The 13,010-nt window shown below is 55.4% G+C and overlaps 1 protein-coding gene across 3 annotated transcripts in view, besides 1 other annotated feature; it reads left to right on the top strand.

Annotated features, from left to right (window-relative positions):
- The window catches only part of SPOCK2 (SPARC (osteonectin), cwcv and kazal like domains proteoglycan 2), a 29,999-nt gene that overhangs the window by 60 nt on the left and 16,929 nt on the right, over positions 1-13,010 (top strand). Inside the window, exons 2-3 of one of the 3 annotated variants that reach the window (NM_001134434.1) lie at positions 359-833; positions 1,981-2,747. In NM_001134434.1, the coding sequence (NP_001127906.1) occupies positions 645-833; positions 1,981-2,025 (234 nt within the window). In that variant the 5' untranslated portion in view covers positions 359-644 and the 3' untranslated portion in view covers positions 2,026-2,747. Of the gene's footprint in view, positions 1-358; positions 834-1,980; positions 2,748-13,010 lie in introns of those variants that run through there. The other 2 variants (NM_014767.2, NM_001244950.2) reach the window with 2 other exon arrangements.
- Positions 7,412-8,196: an enhancer, noted in NCBI's record as "H3K4me1 hESC enhancer chr10:73840535-73841319 (GRCh37/hg19 assembly coordinates)". NCBI's record gives its function as "activates a minimal SCP1, AML or CMV promoter by ChIP-STARR-seq in naive H9 embryonic stem cells {active_cell/tissue: H9 hESC(naive)}" and the evidence as "EXISTENCE:reporter gene assay evidence [ECO:0000049][PMID:30033119]".

The following is a 13,010-nucleotide window of genomic DNA, read 5'->3' as shown; positions in this document are numbered from 1 at the left end:
GGAAGCCAGCTGTCAGGGCTGTGGCGCAGGCCCCTCTGGGTGGGAGGCAAGGGGAGAAAAACAGTGTCTGGCCAAATTCCCTTTCCGACACCTGAGCCTGGCTGGCTTTGTAACCGGAGAGTTTTGTGCCCTCTCCCCCATCCCATCTTCCCCGGGGAGATCCTGGGGCCCTTCTTGCTCTCCATCCTTTGAGGGAGCTCAGGGACATTTCGGGATTCTGGATTTCTTGGTCTGCAACTCCCTGTGTGCCAGGCGGGGCTGGGCCCCGCTGCGGCTGGCTGGCGTTTGGCGCTCTCATCGAGGGAGCGCTTCGCTTTGAAATCTACCCACTCCTTTTTTTTTTTTTTTTTTAAACCAGGTATGATGATGTCAAACGTGATGCTGATGCTACAGTTACAGCCCCTGCTGGCGCAGCCTCTCTGATTCTCTCTCCCTCTCCGCGTCCAGTGCTGGGCTTTTTCAGACAAGTGCATCTCCTAACCAGGTCACATTTCAGCCGCGACCCACTCTCCGCCAGTCACCGGAGGCAGACCGCGGGAGGAGAGCTGAGGACAGCCGCGTGCGCTTCGCCAGCAGCGGGGTGGGAGGAAGGACATTAAAATACTGCAGAAGTCAAGACCCCCCCAGGTCGAACCCAGACCACGATGCGCGCCCCGGGCTGCGGGCGGCTGGTGCTGCCGCTGCTGCTCCTGGCCGCGGCAGCCCTGGCCGAAGGCGACGCCAAGGGGCTCAAGGAGGGCGAGACCCCCGGCAATTTCATGGAGGACGAGCAATGGCTGTCGTCCATCTCGCAGTACAGCGGCAAGATCAAGCACTGGAACCGCTTCCGAGACGTGAGTCCGCAGGGCTGCCAAGGCAGAGACCCGGGGTTGCGGGTTCGGGGATTGAGCTCCGGGGTCTGCGGGAGCGGCCGCCGCACGTCGCAGCCCGAGGCTCCGCAGCCTGGCCGGCTAATTACACGGAAAGTAAACAGTACTGGGGGTCACAGCCCAGCGCCCCTCCCCTGTCCCTGCGGCCCGGGCCGGCGGCCCTGGGACCCCCCAGCCCCGGGACCCCCAGCTCCACACCTGCCCGACGCTCCGGGGTCGCGCGCTCCGGGGTCTCCCCTGCGGGCCGGGAGTGGGAAGGGGTGCGGGGCCGGGGGGACCCGGACCCCGGCTGCCGCTGGACCCCGACCCGGTCCCCAGCTGCGTTGTGCGAGCCGCCCCCGGGCCTGCCCCAGCCGCTGGGATGCTGCAGGCTGCACATACGGGGCACTGCAGCACCGGCAGGTCTGGGTGGGGCCGGCAGTGAGGGTGGCATCGGCTCGCGCGGTGCCCTCTGTTCCCACCGTGGGCTTTGCGGGAGGGGGACAGCATGGGACGGGAGTGTGACCGGGGCTCTGGGTCTGGGGTCCCAGCAGCCTTCTAGGCGAGATGGTGGAAGGCGTGTCCGTACGGGGGTGGGCTGGGGTCCCCGTGCAGAAGGGCGCGCGAGGACCCAGGCTGGTTTTCCCGGACCAACATTTCAGGGGGGAATCCAGCCTGGAGCGAGGGGAGCAGCTCGGAGCCAGAGGAAGGCTCCCGGCCCGGTGGGCTTGAGAAGCCGGGGAGAGTCCAGAAGCTGGGTTTGGGGGCCCCCGGCGGGCGCCGCCCGAACCCCGGCGTAACCTTGGGCCGAACTCCGCGGGGTGGGGGCGGGGGGGTAGCTGCGGCACTTTTGTTTACCGGCACCTGTGGATCAGAGGGGAAGTCGCAGGCGGCGGCCCGGCGGGGCTGGCTCCTTCCTCTCGGCCGGGCCGGGTTGGGGGCTGGGGAAGCAGGGGTGAGGCAGGGCGGGCGGAGGGTGTGGCTGGACCCCGAGATCGTTGGGGGTGCTGTGGGGGATGGGCCCGGATGCGCCAGAGGCGACGCCGGCTGCTCCTGGCGACCTGGTGCTCACCGCGGCCCTGACCCCAGAAAACCTCTTCTAGGACCCTGGCCCTTACTCCTCCTTCCCCAGGTTCCCTCGTCCGACCCACCCAGTACAACGCAGGCCACACCATGACCTCTCCCGTTTTCTCCTTAAACTGCGTGCATCCACAAGTTCCTTGGAAATTTGTTTAAAACACACATGCTTCATAGGCTATCCAGCCAAGTGATGGGAAGAGGCAGAGATTTGGATCTTTTTGTTACCGTCAGACAAGTGACTGTTTCTCCCCAAAGTCAAACTGGCAGGTTGTAATTCACAGAGGACAGCAGGAACCACGGGCAGCCAGGTCTCCAGGCTGAGTGGCCGGGCCCCGCGATGGGCTGCTGATCTCCGCCTTCGCCCCACATGCGACCTGTCCAGCCGCAGGAGCCTGGAGCCCCGCGAGGCCTTCCCGAAGCACCTGCAGGCCCAGCGCAGATGAGCCGCAGTCTCCTGCCGCTTCCTGGGCAGCAGCCCGGCCACAGCAGCGAGGGGGCGGCAGCAGGCCGGCCCATCCGGAATCCATGTGTCACTGGCCTAGGCCTCCCTCCGACTCGCTGGCTGTTTGATCTGCCAAAATGGGACCAGTGAAGGTCAGAGGGAAAAGAAATGCTTAATCAGAACAGGAAAGGTTTAAAATAAAAGATTCCTCCCCACCTCCCTTCTTCCACCTGCTTCCAATAGCCAGCTCCGTGGGTGAGAATAAATGACTTACTGCTTGACCCCATGGCACTGGGCTACCCACCTGTCTCTCTGTATTGGTGCCAACCACTTCCCCCTTCCTCTCATGCTCATCAGAAGAAAGGCACTAGATTTGAAAGTCTTCAGGACTTGCACATGTAAGATTCATGGGAAAGCTTTAGGTGTGTGTTGATTTTGGTAGCCTCAGGCTTTTGTAGGACAGATGTCCTCTAAAACCCCATTTAAGGTAGTCCTGGCTGCAGGAGGACAGGGTCAGGGAGAGAAGTAGGACAAAGAAGGCTGGGCAAGAGGGCCTGGCCCTGGGGATCTGTTGACAGCCTCTGCAGAAAGGCAGGAAGGAGGCTGCTAGCTCAGAGCCACTGCATTGCATAACTCTAGGGGTGCCACAATAGAAATGGTGCCCCCTGAAGTTGTGCAGTGCCCAGACAGTACACAGGGTCCCCACCAGCACTACAAACATATCCCTCTTCTGCCAGAAGAAGCCCTACTTCCTGCCTAAGGGCTGAAGGCACTCTAACTGGGCCCAGTAGCAACGGGCTTTATATTTCCATTAGGCCAGCTCTTTGGAAAATATGCTCCTTGGTTCCTCAAAGGAGAGAGGGGAATTTCGTTTGAACCCCTTAAGGGGTTACAAGGTTGAACTGGGACCTTGTTCATAACCCCAAAATGGTACAGGGCCCCCCTATTTGTCCTAGTAGGGTGGAGGCAAGCAGGACGAGTGGGATACTCTTGGGGAACAGGATTGGGAGGGAAATGCCTCATTCACATGGTGTGGACAGAACTGAAGGGGGAACTTGAGGGAATCAGGTTGAAAGGGTCAGGAGAATGAAGAAGAGCATGAAAACTTGGGGAGTTGCTCCACTTTGGAATTGGCCAGAGCTGGTTGAGAGGGAGCGCAGCTTAGCATCTTTCTCTGAGCACTAGGATTATAGGGAAGGCAGGATTTACCAGTTGAGTAATCCTCCCCTCCAGTGGGCTGAGGGCTCTTACAGCCTGTGCCTGGGTCGATCTCTTCTAATGCTGGGTGCCCGGCTGCCAGGGAGGAGGGGATTCTGGCAGAAGACGGGGGAGATTGTGGACTCCGCCTGGCTCCCTGGCCTACAGATCTAGCTGTACCCTGCCCTGGGCAGTCCTGGGCTTTTCCAAGCCCTGCTCTTCGATGCTCCTACCTCCCAATTCACTCCCTGCACAACTGGGTGGAATTTAATGCAGGTCTTTGGAACAAAGCATCTAGGGCCTAGAGGGATGGACACTTGGAGGAGACAGGTCCATTATACAGCATTCTTCAGGGCAGGCTCCACAGAGCTTGGCTACGAAGAGCTGACTGTTCTCTTTCTTCTTGGCTCTTCTCTACTTTGTACTCCACTTCTATGAAGTTTTCATTATATTTATGAGTGTCTAACACAGTGCTTGGCACCCAGGAGGCGCACAGTTCATATAAGTTGAATCCCTGATGCAGTGAGCACTCACATCTGCCATTAAATTAAATCAAATTAAAGCACTTTAATTTGAGTGGTCTCTTGTGCCTCTCAAGGATCTGGGAGATAGTTATTGTTACTTTACAGCCTACCATTTTATGGTTGTAGAAACTGAGGCACAGAGAAGTAATTTACCCAAAGGTCAAATAGCTAGTAAGTAGCAGAGCTGAGATTTGAATCCAAGTCATCTCACTTAATTTTGCTTTTCAGGGAATTCTAGGCCTCACCCTTAGCGAAAGTGAGAAGGAGGGGTCTACCCTGAAGAGCAAAGTATACTCTGGCTTGTGTCCTCTGAGTCTTCAAGGATGCCCTGAGTAGGAGTGTCACCTCCTAGGAAGGTGGGCCAAAGCCCTCAGTGTCTCCAGCAGCCTGCCTATAGCCTACTCCCCACCCAGGCCTAGCAACACTCCAGAGGCAGCTCTCCACCCAGGAGGGGCCGGGGTGCAGTGTGCTGGGACAGCTCTGGCCTGGGTGCCAGTTCGGGCTCTGCCGCTGACTGGCCCCAGGATGCCGGGCACATCACCTAAACCCTCTGAGCTTTGGTTTCAGACTAGGAAACTGAAAGGGACGCATAGGTGTGAAGGCACCTTGCCAGGGGGCTGGAGGGCTTCCAGGGCAGGTACTACGCTCCTCCCCCACGGAAAAACCACCAGATGGGTCCTCATTTCTAGGGCTGGCCCACACCATGCCTGTCCCTGTGAGAAAGACGTTACTGCACGCTCACTGTCACTCATTCACTGCAGATCTGAGCCCTTCCTGTATGCCAGGGACTTCACCATGATCCTGGGGTCTGGTCCAGGGATATTGTTACCTGCCGGCTAACAATATCGTGTGTTTAGGAACACCAAGAAGGCAAGTAGCAAGTAGCCACAAAGGGGCTCCCTCCTGACCACCCCTCCCTGCTTCCCACCCCACACACCTAAACCACTGCGAGTGTGGGGATGCGCTGCGCCGACGTCTGTGGGTAAGTGTGGGTGTGTGAGAAGAACCCAAAAGTGGGTCAGGATGGATTTCATAATTGGGGTTTGGGTCCTTTGCCAGATAAAGTGACTAAAAACAAAACAAAACATATAACAACAACAACAACAATTGGGGTTTGAGAATGGGAGGGTGGGCCTTTCCCTGACCTCCCCTCCACCCCACCTTCTAACTGGAGCTGGAGCAGTGTCAGCAGAGTGATGGGCTCTTGAACACCCAGCGAGACTCCAAGCCTGGGAAGAGAGGGAGAGAAGAGCCCTCTTTGCCTGGAGAGGCTGTCATATGCTACTCCAGTCTAGCAGCAGCCTGAGAGGATGGGAAGCCAGCACCCTCCCGTCCCCTTCTCAAAAAGGTCAGAAGGCTACCTGGAGCACAGAAGAGCTCTGTCCTACCCTAAGCCCCAAGGGCCAGAGAGAGTGCTCTGCTCATCTTCCCAGTGAGGGGACAGAACTAGCTGTGTGACCTTGCAGCAGCCACTTCACCTTTCTGGGCCTTGATTTTCCTGGTGGTTTAGTGGGGAGGTGAAACCAAATCATCTGCAGAGGCTTTAGCATGCTGTCACTCCAGGAAGAGCCTGGCAATGGCCTGGCCACCCACATGTATACCCTGCTTATCCTACCACACCACCGCCACAGGCTGGGCAGCAGGTCTTTGGGTTTAAGGAAGAGATTCTCTTTTTTCTCCAGAGAAAGTACCTGTGACCAGATTAGGGGAGGGTGTATATTAGCTGGAGACCAAGAAACCTGAGAAATGGGGCCTAATGGCATCTTGGGGCAAGCACCAGGCTGAGGACACACGTATCATCTCTCTTAGCGTGGGCTGCTGTAACAAGATACCAGAGATGGGGTGGCTTAAACAACAGAGATTTATTTTGTCCTCACAGTTCTGGAGGCCAGGAAGTCTAAGATCAGGACGCTGGCAGACTTGATGTTTGATGAGGGCCCTCTTCCTGGCCATTATAGCCTCACATGGCTGAGAGAGAGAGCATGAGCTCTATGTAGCCTCTTCTTTTTTTTTTTTTTTTTTTTTTTTGAGACAGGGTCTCACTCTGTCACCCAGGTTGGAGTGCAGTGATGCAATCCTGGCTCACTGCAACCTCCACCTCCTGGACTCAAGCGATCCTCCCACCTCAGCCTCCCAAGTAGCTGGGATCACAGGCACACACCACCATGCCTGGCTAATTTTTGTATTTTTTGTAGACAGGGGGTTTCACCATGTTGCCCTTGCTGGTCTTGAACTCCTGGACTCAAGCAATCCACCCCCCTCCGCCTCCCAAAGTGCTAGGATTACAGACATGAGCCACTGTGCCAGCCTCTAGCCTCTTATTCAGACCCCAATCTCATCATGAGGGCCCTACCCTGATGGCTTATCTAAACTGAATCCCTCCCCCAAGGCCCCGCCTCCTAATCGACTCCCATTGGAGGTCAGGATTTCAGCATATGGGTCTGGGGGGGACACAGATATGCAGTCCACAACCCCGTCTCTGCGCGTCTCCTTGCAGGAGCAATGTGGGTCTTCTAAGAGCCGTGGATGGGAAAAATGTATGCCCAGGCCTATGCCTGCATACACAGTTTAGATACCACTGTGCCCAGCCTCAGTGTGCAGACCTGGCCCGGCTGTGGCTCTTGAAGTGTGCCAGCCTCTGACCGCCCAAGGGCTTGGCCAGCATCCAGTTGCAGGTGTGGCTCCTTCCTTGGGGTTCCTGCAGCATTTATTGGCCATAACTCATTTGGCACAGGTTGGATGCTGCCTCATAGCATCACTTACACTGCGGGCTGTATCTTCAGAGTCCTTCTGCTGGTATTTGTAATGTGTGTTTGTCACATTCCTCCCATCGTGATCCCCTGAGGAGTGGGTCTGGGAACAGTCAGCCTTGTGTACCTTACCACCCCATCCCCAGAGCATTGCATGGGGTGTTTGGCACACAGTAGGTGCTCAATGTAAACGTGTGCACTGTGGCATGTTAGAGCCAGACAGGATCTCATCCAGCCCGTTCTCTGCACCCCTCCCTCCCCTCTCCAAGTAGCCCTGCTGTGGGTTCAAGTAAAGAGGGGCTGGGGCGCTGGTCTGATTGTGTGGGTGATTTGGGGAGATCTCTTCCTCTTCCGGAACCCCAAAAGGTTGGGACAAACACAGCAACAAGCCCAGCTCCCTGAATTTCAGTGATTCATTTGTGGGATAAAGGAGTGAATGATAAAGTGAAGGACGACTGTCCCCGCGTCTCCCTGTCCTTCAGCCCTCCGTGCCTATCCCTGGCTACAGCCAGTCTCCCACTTTATCCTGTGGAGAGGGTGCTCTGAGCCTCTTCCCCACTCCCACACCATATTATGCCCACAGAGTGGGCCAGCCACCTGTCAGACATGTGGATGGTGGAGACAGGGCTCCCTCGGGTAGAGAACAGATTCTGTAGGGTGGGGCGTCCAGCCCCCTCCTGCTGTCTTCCCCAACACCTGCCAGTCGGTCAAGGCTGCCCTGTATAGAAGGACAAGCCAGGCCCAGCTGGTGTCTTACCTCTGCCTGGATGCAAACAGCTCGCTCCTTCCCTGACCCCTTGTCCCCTGGCACAGGGCAGAGGACGCGAAGTCTCTGAAATCGTTCGGGCTCCTATTCCGCTCATCTCCAAGTTCTCAGTTTGGAAGAACTGGGGGAGCAGAATCCTGGAGACTCAGAAGCACTGAGCCCCACATTTCACAGGTGAAGAAACAGGGCCAGAGAAAGGGCAGGCACCTGCAACCCCACTCCTCTTGTGGCCTGGGGCTCTTCCCCTGCACCACGGCCTGTGGCTCAGCTCCAGCCCTGGGGTCTTCCTCAGACCTCCCTGGGCTTGAATTCTGACCCCCACCCCCATGTTCCAGGAGGGAAGCCAGGGTCCTGAGGCAGCTCAGAACATAGCCCCGGGCCCCTCACACCTCCCGCTGTTCTCTGCCCTTTATGGACTATTGGGGCCACCGCCCGGAGCAGGGACCAAGGACTAGGGCAGCCACCAAGATGCCACTGGACCAGCAGGGAGGTCAGGGCCCGGGCAGCAGGTGGGTGTTGGCGCAGGCATACCTGAGCCCAGGCCCAGCCCGGCTCCTGGCATGCAGGGAGTGATGATATGCACATTTTTGTCCTCCAAGGAAATTCCTCTGAGGGCAGAGGAGGTGGGAGGCCAGAGTCTTCTAGATGCCTGTCTCCTTCTGTTTATCCAGGCCTATCACAGCCTCTGCCGCCCCCTCCAAGAGAGGCTCAAGTATTTAATGACTGGCCCCTCTGCCCCCCACTTCCCAGCCACCCCCACCCCCTCACAGGGACACTGCCTCCCCAGGTGCCCTCTCCCAGGTGTGTGATGGGGTGTTAATCCTCAGCGGAGGAGGATCCCAGGTGTCCCCACTGGGCCCCACCTTGCTCTTTTCTGAGTCCTTCTGTCTGTGCCCTGTGGCTATTTCCAGGGAGGGCAGGAGGAGGCCACAGAGGCAAGCTTCTCTCCAGTCCTGGGCCTTCTTCAGTGGACTGGCCTCCATCACAGGCCCCGTTGCCTGAGGAATGAGGCCAAAATAATGGCAGATACAGGGCCTCTCAGAGGCTGAGCCAGGCCTGGCCCACTTCCATTTTTAGAGATTCTTGATCTATTAAAAAATGAAGAAATGCCGTAACAGGGTTAGGGAAATTGTGGTGTATTCAGTCTTATGATGACTGTCTTCTTTCCGTCCTGTCGCTGTGCCTCTGGCTGTGTGTCCTCAAGTGGAGACAATGTCAGATGTCCATATTGAGACCCCTTGTAACACTGAGACCCTACAGAACCTCTGCCCAGTCCTGTCCCTAGGCTCCCCGGGTGTGTGCCAGAGAACCCGGGGTTCAGGTGTCCTGTCTTGTGTCTTTTGAAAGTATGGAGCTTCAGTTCACAAAGTCCCCTTGCAGACATGATTGCCTGGGTTCTTCTGCAGCTCAGAGGGGAAGGCAAGGGGGTCATCCTTATTTTACAGCCAAGGAAGCCAGTCCAGCAAGGGAAGCGACTCACTTGCTGGCAGTCAGTGGCAAGGCCAAGCAGGAGCCCAGGCCCCTGAGTCCTTGGTGGTGAGGGGTGTAGGGGGTGAGGTCTCTCTGTCACACTGTGCTGCAAAGAAGCAGGTGGATCTTGACCCCATAAGCCAGGGTCTGGAGGGCTGCTCTTCTTTGCTGATTCGCTGCTAGGTCCCAAGCTTCATACCAGATGGAGAAGCTGGGAGAGATTGGGTTAATTCAAGCTGTGAAGTGAGCGGGTGATTTGGGTGCTAATTAAAATGACAGGAAGTAAACAGCACTTGGAAACACCCAGCATGTGCCCCCTAAGCCTGACTAGGCCTGCGCACTCACTGCTGTCTCCCCCAGCTTGGCTCAGTGGGCACCGTCTCCATGGCAACTGAGCTGAGCTGCAGAGATCAAAGCTGAAGATGGGTTAGCTCCAAACCAGCTGAACCAGGGGTCATGTGAAGGGGTTTCTGAAAAATGCCTGGAGAACGGGGGCCCCCAGGTGTCTTCCCCTTCCACCACCAGACCCTCCTCTCCTGGCTGCAAAACTCCCTGCCTAGGACTTGAAGCAGAGTTGGTGTGGTAGGAGAAACCACCTGTGGGCTGGGATTGGGCCTCCTGGGACCCACCCCTGGCCTAGGACTTTTTTCATCAGCTAACATTTATGGAGTGCTGGTTAGGGGCACGGATTCTGGAATCACAGTTCTGGGTGCAGCACTCTTCTCCTGTGCAATTGCTGTGTGACCCTGCCTAAGTCACTTAACCTCTCTGAGCCTCAATTTTATCATCTGAGACATGGAGATAATAATAGTAATGTTTCTTAGAGCTGTTGTGAAGAGGAAACAAGCCAATGAATGTGAAGTGTTTAGCATAATGCTTGCCACGTGGTAATTGCTATAAAGATGTCAGCTATTGTTAGGAGTGTGTATTACTAGGTACTAGATGTTGGGCATAGAGAGAAGAAATTTACATGGTCTCTGCTCTCAAGGAACTGGCTATTTAACTAGGGCGGAGTGAGGCAGAGGCGACATTGCCTGGTGTCACTGGAACAATGGTAGACTTCTGTGAGGCACAGCTGGCCTGAAGGATAAGGAGTGGGGCTCGGGAAGATGATGGCTGAGCTGGGTTTTGGGAGATGAGTAGAAATTCTGGGGCTGATGTGAACTTGCATTCTGGATGGAGACAGCTGTGCTGGGGTTTGGCCATGCTGGAACCTTGCAGGAAGGACCTGGAGCTGGGGTAGCCAGGGAGAGATCAAGAGAAGATGGAATTTCTTCTGTAGGTGACTGGGAACCCGTGAAAGGCTTTCAAAATATAATACTTATTATATTTTTTATTATTTTTAAAATTTATTTTATTTTTATTATTTATTTCTTTATTTTTTTGAGACGGAGTCTCACTCTGTCGCCCAGGCTGGAGTGCAGTGGCGTGATCTTGGCTCACTACAAGCTCTGCCTACCGGGTTCACGCCATTCTCCTGTCTCAGCCTCCCGAGTAGCTGGGACTACAGGCGCCCGCCATCACACACGGCTATTTTTGTATTTTTAGTAGAGATGGGGTTTTACCGTGTTATCCAGGGTGCTCGATCTCCTGACCTCGTGATCCGCCCGCCTTGGCCTCCCAAAGTGCTGGGATTACAGGTGTGAGCCACCGCGCCTGGCCTATTATTTATATTTATTATGATTATGATTATGTTTTTTCTCTTTATTACAAAGTAATATATGTTCATTGCAGAAATTTTGGGGAAAGTTGGAGAAAAGCAGAAAGATGTCAGAATTCTCTGTATTCCTACCCAGCAGTGGAAATGACTGTTACCATTTTGGTATAAATCCTTTTCACCTACTCACTTTCTTTTTCCCCAAAATGAGATCAAACTGTATATTCAGTTTCAAAGAGAGAGAGACCGGGTCAGAATTGTGTTTTGGAAGGATCCGGGTGGCCGCAGCCGTGTGGAAGACAGTGGGAGGAGGGAGACCCTCAGGAGGCGCTGCAGTTTTTCGGGTTGGGGTGGTCCTGGCCGGTGGGTGTAGGGCAGGGAGGGCAAGCGAGAGGGATTCGGGAGGGGAAGGGGCAGGACAGTCTTTGGGTTGGTGAGGGTGGCACGGTAAGCGTGCTCCAGGAACGGGCCTGGAATTGGAAGCAGGAGCCTGGGTTCTCCCAGGGCCGGCCTGCTCCTCAGCACACCTTGTATCGCTTTGTGTGAGGCACCCTCGGAGGGAGGAAGAATGGCTGTTCTTTTTCATCCCAGAGGCCCCGTGTTTGGGGTGAAGACACCCAAGAACATAAGCAAAATATTAGACATAAGCACAGAGCGGGAGGGACCTGAGGCCTGATGGCTGGCCCAGTGGTCTCTAAGCTGCCTGCCTAGAGCCAGCACAGAAGCGTGGCCCGAGCTGGGTACCACCCATGGGATTTCAGGGGTCTCAGGTAGCATGTGCGTGCTGGAAGGTTTAAAAAGCTCCTTGGGGAAGGGCACAGTGGCTCATGCCTGTAACCCCAGTGCTTTGGGGAGCTGAGGGAGGAGGATCACTTGAGCCCAGGAGTTCGAGATCAGCCTGGGCAGCATATCAAGACCCTATCTCTATGAAAAAAACCACCACAATAAAAATTAGACAGGCATGGTGGCACATGCCTGTGCTCCCAGGTACTTGGAAGGCTGAGGTGGGAGGATCGCTTGAGCCTGGGAGTTCGGGGCTACAGTGAGCTATGATTGCACCACTGCACTCCTGCCTGGGTGACAGAGCAAGACTCTGTCTCAATAAATAAATAAAAATAAAGAGCTCCTCGGCTGATTCTAAGGTGCAGTCACCACTGAGGTCCTCAACAACGAGGAAGTGACTTCTTTGAGGACACACCGTGGGCCAGGCTGAAAGTGGACTCCTGGTCCAGTGCCCCTTCTATGTCCTCTCTCTGCCTCCTCCTCCTCAGTGCAGATGCTGGTCCTCTCTTAAGGAGAGAGACTCTAACTTGTGGGGTGGGAGGGGGCGATGGGGAACCCTGACTCAGCTCCTCTTTTGTCTTGCCATCTCTGGCCAGTTGCTCTGCCTCTCTGAGCCTTCGTTTTCTCCTTTCTTCTGGTGTTGATCCTATTGGCTCTGACTACTTCACAGGACTGTGAGGATAAAAGGCAGACCCATCCAAATGCCTGGAGAGAACTTACTCTAAAAGCACCATGCAGGCTGGGTGCAGTGGCTCACGCCTATAATCTCAGCACTGTAGGAGTCTAAGGCAGGAGGACTGCCTGAGCCCAGGAGTTCAAGACCAGCCTGGGCAACATGGCAAGACCCCATCTCTATTAAAACATTTTTTTAAATTAAAAGCTTTACTCATATAGATAGGTAGATAGATAAGCATATATAAGCACCATGCAATACAAGCCACGAGCTCTTCCAAATCCCCATTTTCCAGGTGAGGTCGGCAGCAGAGCCACCTGCCACCACTCTCAGGTGTAGAACGGGGCCTCTGTTTCCTGAGAAGCCCCAGGTGCCCTGATCAGACTATTTCTCACAACTGCTAATGAGCCCACTGGGGTGCCATAAATAGACACCCAACACTGCACTGAAAGGCATTATTTGCACTTGCCAACAAACACCTTTTTTTCAGCTTAAAGGTGGCGCCAGCCCACACCTGGCCTCAGGGACCCCTCAGTGTGTCCTTGAGTTTTACCCTCAGAGTGGCCACTCCCCAGCTGCCCAGAGGACTTCCTCGTCATTCCTCCCCACAAGACCTCCTAGGGGACTCTCCTCGTATCCCTTCTGGTCTCTGCTGTCCCCATGGTGGCCTCTCCCTCTCCACTTTTTTGGGGTTCCTCATGTGGCATCTCTGTCCCTCATTTTCCGCACTTGCAGTCCGGGGGTCTCTTCTCCATCATAGCAGCTTTGATTTGTTAAGTGCTTCCTGGACCCCAGGCACCCCGCAGGTGCCATCTGCTTT

This window comes from Homo sapiens, chromosome 10 (assembly GCF_000001405.40).
Source record: "Homo sapiens chromosome 10, GRCh38.p14 Primary Assembly".
NCBI classification, from domain to species: domain Eukaryota; kingdom Metazoa; phylum Chordata; class Mammalia; order Primates; family Hominidae; genus Homo; species Homo sapiens.
The sequence above is the reverse complement of the archived record's forward strand: the minus strand, read 5'-3'. Positions and strand labels throughout refer to the sequence as shown.